Genomic DNA, 12,044 nt, shown 5'->3' with positions numbered 1-12,044 from the left:
TACACACCCACTAGCATGGCTAAAATGAAAGGACTGGCAACTCTAAGAGATGGCAAAGGTGTAGAGCAATCAGAACTCTCTGCTGGTGGGGTTATAAGACAGTACCATCACTCTGGGAAACTACCCTTATAAAGGTAAGCACAGACCTACCCTATCACCCAGGAATCAGGAATCCCACTCCAAAGTATTTTCCCTCAATACATGGAAACATGCGTTCAAAGAAACTTGCAGGCTGGGCACAGCGGCTCATGCCTGTAACCCCAACCCTTCAGGAGGCCAAGGTGGGAGGATCGCTGTAGCACAGGAGTTGGAGCCCAGCCCAGGCAACACAGTGAGACCTTGTCTCTAAAAAAAGTTTTTAAATAAGCCTGAGCCAGGTGTGCTGGTGTGCAGCTGTCATTCCCGCTACTCAGGAGGCTGAGGTGAGAGGACTGCTTGGGCTCAGAAGTTCGAGACCAGCCTGGGCAACATAGCAAGACTGTGTCTACATTAAAAAATATATTTAGATACAAAGCAAAAACGCTGAGCAGCGTGCACGTCCTGCTATCACTTGTGTAATGAAAATGGAGAGAAGGCATCTGAGTAAACACCTATTTGTTTATAAGTGTAAAAAATATCGGAAGAGCGTGGGGGAGCGAGAATCTGGCCACAATGGCAGCCTTGCAGTGGCCGGGAGACGAGACAACGAGATGACAGGCAAGCCCTTTAGAACAGGGATGGCGAACTGCCCCTGGTAAAGGCTGGAGCTCATCAGCTTCGCAGGCTATGTCTGTGCTCCCAGGTGCTCCCAGGACGGCAGTGCACACAGTGGTGTGGCCTGCACCCACGACAGGGCCTTTACAAGAACCGGAGCCATGGGATCGCACCTCAACTACCAGCACTGTCTTGGAACTTTCTCAATTAAAACCCACGAGAAGCCGGGTGCAGTGGCTCACGCCTGTAATCCCAGCACTTTGGGAGGCCGAGGCAGTCGGATCATGAGGTCAGGAGATAGAGACCATCCTGGCTAACATGGTGAAACCCCGTCTCTACTAAAAATACAAAAAATTAGCCGGGCGTGGTGGCAGGCGCCTGTGGTCCCAGCTACTCGGGAGGCTGAGGCAGGAGAATGGCGTGAACCTGGGAGGCGGAGCTTGCAGTGAGCTGAGATCCTGCCGCTGCACTCCAGCCCGGGCGACAGCGAGACTCCATTTCAAAAAAAAAAAAAAGAAAAAAGCCAGACTCCCTGGGCTCGGCTCCCAGCCCTGCCAGGGCCTCTGTGGCCTCAGCCTGCACGTCCCGCCCATGTTGACCTGTTTCTTCGGGGACCGGTGCCGGGTCTGTGGCTGGCCCTCAGGAAGAGGGGGCTGCCACAGCCGGTTCCCGTTTATATGCTCAGGGCACAGCCAGTCTCTGCAGAGGTGATGGGCTGTGGAGTCCCGGCTGGGCCCTTGAGGAAGGCCGCCTAATTGGGAGGGGGGCACACAGGCCACCTGCAGACGCGCCCAGGTCTGCCCTGAGTGCCAGGGGAGCAATGGTTCAGGGGCAGGGAGGCTGCACGGGAGCCTACACCTGAGCTGGGCCTTGAGCTTCCAGGCTGGGTCGGAGGTGAAAACACAGACACCCCACCCCTCAGTGTCTCAGAAGGAGGTAGGGGAGAAGGGTGGGTCCCCAGCAGGCAGCAAGGGAGCCACCCAGCTGGCCAGGGATTGTTGCCAGCCCATGCCTGGGGCAGACAGGGCCCAGTCATTGAAGAACAAGACTCTGGGGTCCCTGCCCTGGGAGGGCTCCTCCCTCTGGGGGAGACCGGGCTGTGCTTCTCTGCTGGGGGCCTGGGAGGTGCCCTGTGCTCTCACTGCTGTGCCACTGGCCCCGGGCCGCTGACGGTTCCCCCCAAACACCCGGCCCCCCTATGCTGGGGAAGGGGCTGTGGGGTCTCCCTCAAACCTGCCCTTCTGCCCTCGGGGTCAGCTGTTTGGGGCCAGAAACCCAGGTGGCATCCATGAAGCCCCCGTCTCTGCTGTCCTGCAAACATCCACTCCCTCAGCCAGTCCTGTCAGCTCTGTTTTCAAATCCCGCCCGGTGCAGACGACTGCCCCCAGCTCTGCCGGTCTCAGCAGCCAGAGCCCGCCCCCTGGGATGGCTCCGCAGGAGACCCCTGACCCTCAGTACCCCTGCTCAGGGCCACACACACCCCGGCGCACACACGGCCACCACCCTGGCCTCCTGCTTGGGCCCCACCAGCCATGCTGCATCAGGGCCTCCGCACCTGCCATTCCCTCTTCTGGAACCTTCCTCCCCCGACCAGCCTCATGGCCCTATATTTGTCTTTGTACAAATGTCACCAGAAGGAAAGCCTTCGCTGAGCACCCCATTTAAAAACCGCACCCCCCGCCACCTCACTTTTCTCCAAACCTTCTCCTCCTAAGGAGCGACTCAGTTTCCCTACATCACTCTGCTGCTCCTTCTTGTTGGGCCACTGAAGCATGAAGTTCCCCAAGGGGGAGATGGTTTCGTGGGCTGCCCAGCATCCAAGGCCACGGGACCAAGGCAAGGGCACCACTGAACCAGATGCACCTTTGGGGCCAGGTGCAAGATCAGGTGACCACGGGGGCCCTGCCAGGCAGAGCCGGTTCTGGGGTGAGGTGCTCAGCCAGGCCCTCCGGCCCGGGCACGAAAAGCAGCCCCTGGGCCCGATCCGAGAGCCCAACAAGAAGGGCCCAGCCGTTGGCTCCACCCAAGGCTGCCAGGGAGCCTCACGAGATGCTGCTGACGATGAATATTTAACGCTGTGAGCAGATGCTCACAGTATGGGGGGTGGTTATAAAATAGCAGCCAGGACACAGCCACACATTCCTACAATCACACATGCAAAGGGAGAAGGCGGCAAGCACCGGCCCGGTGTACCGAGGCGGCCCACTCGGGCAGCAGGGCGCCGGCCGGACTGCTCTGCTGTTGACTCCAGTTTTCTAGGACAAGCGCATAATTGTACAAGTTTAAATAGAAATGAAACACAGGGAGTTTTTAAAAGGCTGACTGGGGCCGGGCCTGGTGGCTCACGCCTATAATCCCAGCACTTTGGGAGGCCGAGGCAGGTGGATCACTTGAGGTTAGGAATTCAAGACAAGCCTGGTCAACATGACGAAACCCCGTCTCCATTAAAAATACAAAAAATGAGACTGGGCGCAGTGGCTCACGCCTGTAACCCCAGCACTTTGGGAGGCCAAGGTAGGTGGATCACCTGAAGTCAGGAGTTCAAGACTAGCCTGGTCAAGATGGTGAAACCTCGTCTCTACTAAAAGTACATAAAATTAGCTGGGTGTGGTGGTGCGTGCCTGTAATCTCAGTTACTTGGGAGGCTGAGGCAGGAGAATCGCTTGAAGCCAGGAGGCTGTAGTAAGCCAAGATCGCGCCACTGCACTCCAGCACGGGCGACAGTCAGACTCCATCTCAAAAAAAAAAAAAAAAAAAGCTGATCGGATGGGACCATTCCCCCTCCAGCTGGCCCATGTGCTGGCCCCCTCCCCAGGCTGTCCCCTCCCCGGCACATACAAGTTCTCTAACTCCCGGACCCACCCTGTCCAGCTAAGAGCTACCAGCACTGATTCCCCAACCCAGGTCCCCCAGATCAAGAGTAGAGGCAGCACAGTCAGGTATGAGGGACACAGGGGGCACTGTCCTGGAGGGGCGGGGAACAGGTGCCCCTGGCTAGGCACAGGGGTGATGCCGACCACTCTACCCATCAGTGAAAACATTCACAGGCTGCCATGGGAGGGGGACCAGTGGGCAGGAAGCAGAGCAGGAGGCTGCAGCCAGCGGGCAGGTTGGGGAGCTGGGCTGGGCAGGGCAGGGGGCCACAGGGGATGGGAGAAGGACTAGCGGGACATGGGGGTGGCTGCTGGCAGCCCCCCATCTGGTAGCAGTGGGCCCATCCCTCCTCTTCAACCTGAAGGCCAAGACCTGGGGCAGAGCTGGCGGAGTCCCCCTGTTCCCCAACCACAGGTATGGGAAGTGCCAGCGGGCTGAGTGGGTCAGACTACCCCACATGTGGGACAGTGACACAGGACGCTCCGTGCCCATCCAGGCCCCCAGTGTGCAGACGGACAGATGGTGGGCCTGGGCGGGCAGCAGGCCTGGCTGTGGAAGGCAGACGGCCACTTGCCTCCTGCACTTCAGTTTCCTCACTGACCCCAAAAATCATACCAGAACCTCAGGGGCGCTGAAGCCCTCGGGGCAAGCAGGGTAGCCCCCAGCCTTCCCCGGGCCCACCATTCTCGGGTTCCAGCCTCTGCCGCCCGCGCCCAGGCTACTGCGTCCCTCCTCCTGGGCGCACCATGTTCTGGCCACAATGAACTCCATTCAGCCCCATGAATGAGCCCTCTCTGGCCATCGGCCTCTGCCCTCACTGCCCTCTGCCTGGAATACGCTCCCCTGCCCCCTCCTCTCTGCCTGGCTTCTTGAGAGTCACCCTCGGGTCTGGACTGAAACGCTGCTGCCTCCAGGAGGCCTTCCTGACTGCTACCTCCTCACAAATGTAGAGTAAATGGCTCCTGCTACTGACAGCTGCCCCTGAAAGCCCTCCGTGTGCCATGAGACTTATCACCTGGCACTTCTGTGCTGCACCTGAGCAGGGACCACGCTACCTTGCTGTGGCCTGGGCAATGCTGGCCCAAGGGCTTCAGAGGCTGAAGGGCACAGGTGCCTACACACAGCACAGCACATGCCAGACCGGCGGCTCTTGGCTGGTACCAGGGCTATCTGCCTCTGGGGGCATCTGGAGTCGTGGTGACAGGGGCTCCACTCTGCACAGCAGGCGGGTGGGCAGGCAGATTCCTCGGGGTGCCCGCTGCGGGCCAAGACCCTGGAGGAGCAGCTCTGTGCCCGGCCAGCATGTATCCTTCCTTCTGCCCCACATTTCCTGACAGCCTCTCTTCCCAAGTACCCTGACAGGAGGGTCAGGCTCCCTAGCCGGACTCCCCAGGTGGCGCAGGCTGGAAAGGGGTGGCGCCGGCTTCCTTGCCGACAGGCAGGACAGGGTTCCCAGCCTGCAGAGGTCCAGGCCAGAGCCTCTGCTCAGGAGCAGGAGCCAGTCGGCTCGGGAGGAGGGAAGGCAGGCCGCTGTGCGACCTTGGGCCGTTCTCCGCACTGTTCTGGGTGCCAGCCCCGTCCCCACACACGGCACCTCCCACTGGAGCCGATCACCTACAGCCTGAGGCCCCTGCAGCCTGCTCTGTGGCTCTGTCACCCCCTCCCCCAGCCCAGCATTCCGCACCGCGTGATTTATGGCTCCTGTCCGCCTGGCGCGGTCTCCATCCTGGAGCCGGCCGGCGGCTATTCCGGGGAAACAGACCAGAGCGGTGGGCCTCACGCTGGACGGTGGGTCACAGCCAGAGGAGGGAGTGAGGGAGAAGCCGGTGGAACTGGGTCCTCCGGAGGCGGCCCCCGGGCAAGGCCAGCACCACAGAGTGCACCCTGGGGAGGGACACAGCCCAGGGTCAGGGCGGACAGATGGCATCTCAGGTCCTAAAACCATGGGGACCACTGCTTCGGGGCCAGGGGCTATGCTCCAGGAAACTTCTGAGGACCGAGGTGGCCCCCAGGGAGTCCCCCAAGAGCACGGAATCCAGGAAAGGAGGTTCACCTGGCGGCCTGAGATGGAGAGAGAGCCAGTGGGAGAGAGAGGCAGGGTGGGGATGGCCTCTTTGTTCTGAGCCGCCAGCACAGGCACACTGGTGTAGACAGGGGAGCAGGCTCTCCCGGAGATCAGGTGACCGGGGTCCCTGGTGGCTCAGGGCACAGCGATGTATTGTGGGACGGAGCTACTGGTCCCCGTGCAGGAAGGAAGCTGGTCAGCCCCGTCCCCCGCCCTGGACCAAGCCTGCCCTGCCGCTCCCAGGAAAGCCCAGCCTCCCTGTGATGCAGGTCCTTCCCAAGGCCCAACCTTCAGAGACAGCCAGCTCTGCCCAAGAACCTGGCAGGGGGAACAGCTTCCCTCATGAGAGAGCAAAGGCTGGGAAAGTCAGTCCGATGGAACTCAGGCCAAGACCCTGAGTCCCCCAGGACAGGTGCCACTGGGCCAACCTGCTCCCCAGGAGGCTGCTGCTAGACACCTCCTGCAAGAGAAAAAAGGTGGAGGCGGAGCCTCACTTGGAAGGCGGAGCCTCAGGCTGGAGGGAGGAGCCTCGGCTGCCGCAGGAACCACCGACAGCACCTTCCTCCCTCCTCCACTTCCTCCATCCTCACCTGGAAGCACAGCCCCTCCAGCCTAACCTCACTAAGTCCCAGGGCTGCAGATGGGAGGGGAAAAGCAGCCAGTTCCCCTTCCCCCTACCCCCATCAACGCTGCCTCCCTGGGCAGGGGAGCGGGGGCCAGCTGGCACCCAATGGACTGAAGCGTGCCAGAGAAGGGCCCTCAGGCCACAGCAGGGGCCAGGCAGGTTGCTGGGTCAGCAGGGTGGGAGGGGGCATGCACAGGGTTCTGAACCTCGTGGCCTTGGTCCTGTTCCCTGCTGCGTGCCCACGCCTGGTGCCCATCACGCACCCACCCAGCAGGCGCTCCGATGTTTACTGTGCGAAGGAAAGAGTGGGGGCAGGGGAGGGGAGGCAGGAAGAAGAGACGGAGAGACCTCCAGGCACACAGAGGACTTGGTGAAATCTGAGCGCCTCAAGGCACAGGTCCGCAAAGGCCCAGGACGTTCCGCTCCCTATCTGGGAGTCCCAGAGGCTGCACACTCTCTCTGCCCTGGGGGCTGGGGCTGCGGAGGCCTCCCTGGCCCTGAGCTCAGGGCTATGGCTGAGGCAGAGACTGGGCTCAATGCCCACCTGCAGCCTGAATGGCCACGGCTGCTGGGGAGGCACCAGGGGCCTGTCCACACTGCTGTGGGCTATGAGGTCCTGACACACAGTTCCTGCTCAGTCAGTGCTTGCAGACAAAGACACGAGAGAGAGAAGCGTGGAGCCCAGCACCTCTCCTCCGCCTGGGATCGCCCTGAACCCCCAGCACGCCCGGTGCACACAGCCTGGCAGTGACCTGAGCCCACTGACCAAGGACACTCCTGCAGGCTGCCAGCGAGGAACCAGAGCCCGGGGGAAGGATGCCACTGGCCAGCCCCCTTTCCAAGGGGAATAAGCAGGGAAACCAGGCTCCCAGGTGGCCCTGGTCACCCCTGGCCCTGGCAGTCACAGCCTGGTGTGGTCCCTGCATGCGCCACAGAGTCTGTGTGAGCAACGGACTCTGTGGGGGAGATGGCGAGGCGTGTCCGAGGTTGGGTTATAAAAAGGGCTCCAGCTCCCAGCTTGGAGGTGCACACTCGCTACCCTAGGGTGAGGGAGCCACCAGGCTGAGGACGCCCAGGCAATCCGTGCAGGAGTCCGCACCATGAGGACCTGGGGACTGTGGCCAAGAGCTGGCGAGGAGCTGAGGCCTGCCAGCCACCACACAAGGATGTGCCTGCTCCAGCCCTGGTCGAGCCTCCAGATGAGGTGGCTCCAGCCTGACTGAGCCTCATGAGAGCCCCCAAGCCCCAATGCCCCGCAACACAGCTCACAGGTTCCTGAGAGCTAACAGACGCCCCCTGCTTCCAGTGGCTCCATTTCGGGGTAACTTGTAACACAGCAAGGGGTGACCAATATCAAAGATGGTCCCTTTGCTTCCGAGGAAGGACACCCCTGGCCACTGTGGCTCCCCGCCCTGGCTGCGCCACAGAGAACATCACTCGAAGTCGGCTGTGTGGCTGGGCTGGGCTGGGCGACGGGGCCTAGGTGAAGCCTCCAGTCGCAGCCTCCCCAGGGTGACCACTCACCTAATTCGGTGGGCTTCAGCAGCTCATCCAGCATATTAAAGAACGGCAGCTTCACCAGGCGGACTTCTGGCTTGAGGGTCTTGGCGGGCAACCGTCCCAGTCCGTTTAAGTACTTTCCGTAGAGCACGGGGTAGTCAATATTGGGGCCTGCCAGCGGAGTCCTGGGCACAGCGCCGGCCCGGTCGTAGGTGGAGTGCATGGTCAGGGGGTCCAGGGGCCGGTGCGGCTGTGGGGCAGGCTCCGAGTTCTTCTTGGCGTAGCGGGTCTCGTACAGCTCCTTGATCTTCTTGAACAGCTCAGGGCTACAGTCAAACTGCACCAGCTGGAGGGCCCTGGTGACGAGCTCGTGCTTCAGTCCACTCTTACTCCGGCCCACGAAACCCAGGAGCATCTGAAGGTCGGAGACTCGAAAACTCATCACCATGTTCTGAGGAGGAGCAAGCACACACACACTCAGAGGACACAGCTGCGAGGCAGGGGACTCCATGGAGGCCAGGCCCCGATGTGGGGGCCGTGAAAGACACCCACTCGCCAGGAAGCGCCAGCCTTGGCTGGGGCTGGTGGAGTGCCCTGCCCCTACGGTGCCCCCTCCCAGCAAAGCCCTGCCCCCTCCCTCCTCCTCATCAAACTTTCCCCAGCATCGCCAACGCAGCAAAAGCGCCTCTGACTAGGCCCCCCCTTCTATTTTAGGTTCTCTTTCCCTGTCTTCAGCCTGAAAGCATCCCCAGGGCAGGAACTGACAATTGTGCTTTACTTGTAAACAGCCTCTGCCAGTGCCTTACCGGCAAACACCAAATGCCTCTCTGACCCTCAGTCTCTACGTCGGGAGGATAATGACATAAAGCACTGGCTGGGCGGGCGCTCAACCCATGTCAGCCACAGATATGTTTTCCCTTCGGTCTCGCCAACGGTAGCCACAGTTTACTTAGTACTAATCACCTGCCGGGAACCAAGCCGGTCATGTGATTATATATTTAACTCTGATCCTTAAAACACCCCTGCTAGGCTGGTGTGTGAGCTCTGTCACAAATGAGGAACTGTCGGCTCAGAGGTGGCAGCGCCAAGATTCGAACCCAGGCCTGGCTCTGAAGCCAGGGGCGGTTCTTGCTGCCACACTACCCTCTGGATGTCAACACAGGGCTGGGCCTGTGGGGGCCTCCGAAACATCTGCTGATCATCCCAGGCAGGGTTTCTCCTCCTTGGCCCTGTGGACACTGGGGCCATCCTGGGCTCTGTGTGGTGCTAAATACCCACAGCTCACGACAACCAAACACACCTCCACACCCCACACACCTCCACACCCCACACACCTCCACACCCCACACACCTCCACACCCCACACACCTCCACACCCCACACACCTCCACACCCCACACACCTCCACACCCCACACACCTCCACACCCCACACACCTCCACACCCCACACACCTCCACACCCCACACACCTCCACACCCCCCACACCTCCACACCCCACAGCTCCACACCAAACACACCTCCACACCCCACACACCTCCACACCCCACACACCTCCACACCCCACACACCTCCACACCCCACACACCTCCACACCCCACACACCTCCACACCCCACACACCTCCACACCCCACACACCTCCACACCCCACACACCTCCACACCCCACACACCTCCACACCCCACACACCTCCACACCCCCCACACCTCCACACCAAACACACCTCCACACCAAACACACCTCCACACGTTGCCCTGAGTCCCTGGGGGACCGGTCCAAGGGGAAGATAGCAGCCACAGGGGCTGTTGCAGGACCTGGGTCAAAGCGACAAATGAGGCTTGGCAGGACCTGGCCCTCATCGCCTGGCCGGGCCTCTCCAGCGAAATAAAAACCAAACAGCAGAGCCCAGCTGACCCTGGTGTTTGAGGTGGGGTAGACTGGCAGTGGCCTGACCTCCATGAGGGGTAGGACCCTGAAGGGGAAGGAAGGCTCCTCAACAGGCTGCAGAAGCCAGGTGTCCTCGAGGGATGGGCTGGCAGGGTTTCAGGGCCACCCACCCTTAGCCCTGAAGCTGGCCTGGGATGAATGAGATGTGGTGGGAAACAGTAGCTTCCAGGAGGAATGGGGAGAAAGCTCAAGCGTCAAGGGTGTTAAGGAAAGCTGGCGGGTACCCGAAGAAACCAATAAACCATTCAAACTCCACTCGAAAGACCCTGAGGGTCGAAGCCAGAGGCAGTCCCAGTGGGGTATGTAAACTGCAGCCTCCGTGCCAGGAGGCGCTGAGGTTTCCGGCTCCTGGCTGCCCCAGGGTGAGACCAGGAGCCTAGCCGCACATTTCAGCACCAAAGCTGCAGCAGCCGGGGCCCACTGTCGGGTCCTCATCTGTCAGCTCTGATTTCTTCCAGCTGTATCGGGCCAGGGTCCTGTTGGAGACGGAGAGGCTGTCCAGGCTCAAAATGACAGGGACACACGTGCAGGCGGCCCAGCCCTGCCCAAAGAGCCTCGGGAGAAGCCTCTTCCCATATCAGGGCTGCGGGGCCCCGTGACTGTAAAGAATCGGGATGCCAGCGTCTTGCTCCCTACCAGGCACCAGCAAGGCCTGTGTCGCTAATTTCACAATGAGGACACCCATCGTGTAGGTGAGGAAACCGAGGCTCACAGAGGGAAGAGGCTGGCCCAGAGCCTCCCTAGTACATGCGTGGGACTGGCATCGGCCCCTCGGCCTCTGGCCTCCCAAGGGTGTTCCCGTCTGCTGCCCGGGGGACCCTCACTCACCAGCACACTGGCTATGGGGACCTGCATGGTCTGCTGGGCCTGAGAGTCAGGGATGCTTTGAAAACAAAAATGCCTCATCTCCCTTGGCCTGACTTCCTACCTTGTGCAGAAAACAAAAAGGCTTGCAGACAAGATGTTTCTTCTGGAAGTGGCCCAAAGCCTTAGCAGGGAGAGACGATGTCATGTGGACACTTCACACTGGCAGACTGGCCGAAGGCAGGTGGGCTGGGGAACCTGCTGACATCCTCGCACCCCGGGAGCCCCTGCCCCACCCAGGCTGGACAGTGGAGCCGCAGCTCCCGCTTCCCGGAGCACACCCCTTAGGTGGCCATATGTTCACGACTCAGATTTCCCAGCAGCTGCCACCTCGGAGGAGCCTGCCCTTGACACTGGAGGGAGTGCGGGGGGGACAAGCATTCAGGAAGAAGCCCCAAATGCCCCAAGATCACTTCCTGCCCTGGCTTCAAGCTGACCTGCTTGCCGTCAGAGCTGTGTTTATAAACAGTGCCAGGCCCCGGCAGCTTCCAGAGTTTCAACTCCAGGCTTGCCTGGAAGTCGCATGGGGAGACATCAGCCGAGACACAGCAGCTGCGCTGAACCTTTCCTCCAGCATAGGCCCCTCAGAGCACCGGGGGTAGCTCAGGAAGGCGCCTCTCTCCAGGAAAGCGGAGATCTGTGCGAAACGCTGTGGACTATTTCAGGGAGCTCACAGACACCCCTGCCCCAAACCCGCCTGCAGGCCTCAAGCTGAGAGTCTCAGATTTCAAAGTTCACCAACAAACCCCCAACATTCGCCCCTCCGAGCAGTCTGTGATGCACCCCAAAAGACAGAATCTGCAGCCATGAATATGACAGGCTGGGGAAGGCCCCTGTAAAGAAGGGGATGTTTCAATGACATTTAAGGTACTTGGAGAGGTAGCAACAGACTCAAGGAGAAAGAAGGTTCCCCAGGGTCCAGGCCCCCTTGAATGGAGGCTCACGGTTTAGAGAACCTGAAAGAAGGGTCAACTTGATTTAATTGGGGTGGGGGGGGGCCCAGCCACCAGAGGGTTAAGGAAAGTTCATCAGATCATATTTCAAGGCCTGGATGGTACAAAAGAGTGCAGACCCTGCCCTCAGCCAGGGTGGGGGTTGGGGTCCAGGGTCACAGCTCCAAGCCCCGAAACGGGAGGTTACATTTCAGGACTCCAGGACACTTCAAGCCCAGAGCCTGCCACTTTGGGTTTACAGAGTTCAGGCCTCCACATCTCCAGGGCGAGTCTCCACTTTTCAAAACTCTAGAGAGGAGCAGAAGTGTGCGCAGGGGTGTAGGGTTGGGAGGCGAAGAGAGGTATATGCTATAATCACAGAGCCCTGAGTGCTGTGTTTTCAGATCCCAGGGGGTAATGTGAGAGGACCGAGAAGAAGATACGTACAGGTCAGGACCGTGGGGAGGGAAGATGTGAAAGGGGATGGGGGAGGGAGAGGTCCCCTAACCTCCCCGGAAGCCGTGGCCTTGCGGGCACTTCTAAG

At 60.4% G+C, this 12,044-nt stretch overlaps 1 protein-coding gene across 2 annotated transcripts in view; it reads right to left on the bottom strand.

The window, feature by feature from the left end:
• PIAS4 (protein inhibitor of activated STAT 4) overlaps window positions 1–12,044 on the bottom strand; it is a 31,651-nt gene that overhangs the window by 18,256 nt on the left and 1,351 nt on the right. The window contains exons 1-2 of one of the 2 annotated variants that reach the window (XM_011528060.3): window positions 10,633–11,183; window positions 7,782–8,208 (exon numbers count right to left, since the gene is read on the bottom strand). In XM_011528060.3, coding sequence (XP_011526362.1) covers window positions 7,782–8,208; window positions 10,633–10,716 — 511 coding nt within the window. In that variant the 5' untranslated portion in view covers window positions 10,717–11,183. Of the gene's footprint in view, window positions 1–7,781; window positions 8,209–10,632; window positions 11,184–12,044 lie in introns of those variants that run through there. The other variant, NM_015897.4, reaches the window with a different exon arrangement.

This window comes from Homo sapiens, chromosome 19 (genome assembly GCF_000001405.40).
Source record: "Homo sapiens chromosome 19, GRCh38.p14 Primary Assembly".
Lineage (NCBI taxonomy): Eukaryota > Metazoa > Chordata > Mammalia > Primates > Hominidae > Homo > Homo sapiens.
Note: the sequence above shows the minus strand (reverse complement) of the source record. Positions and strands in the feature narration are given on the sequence as shown.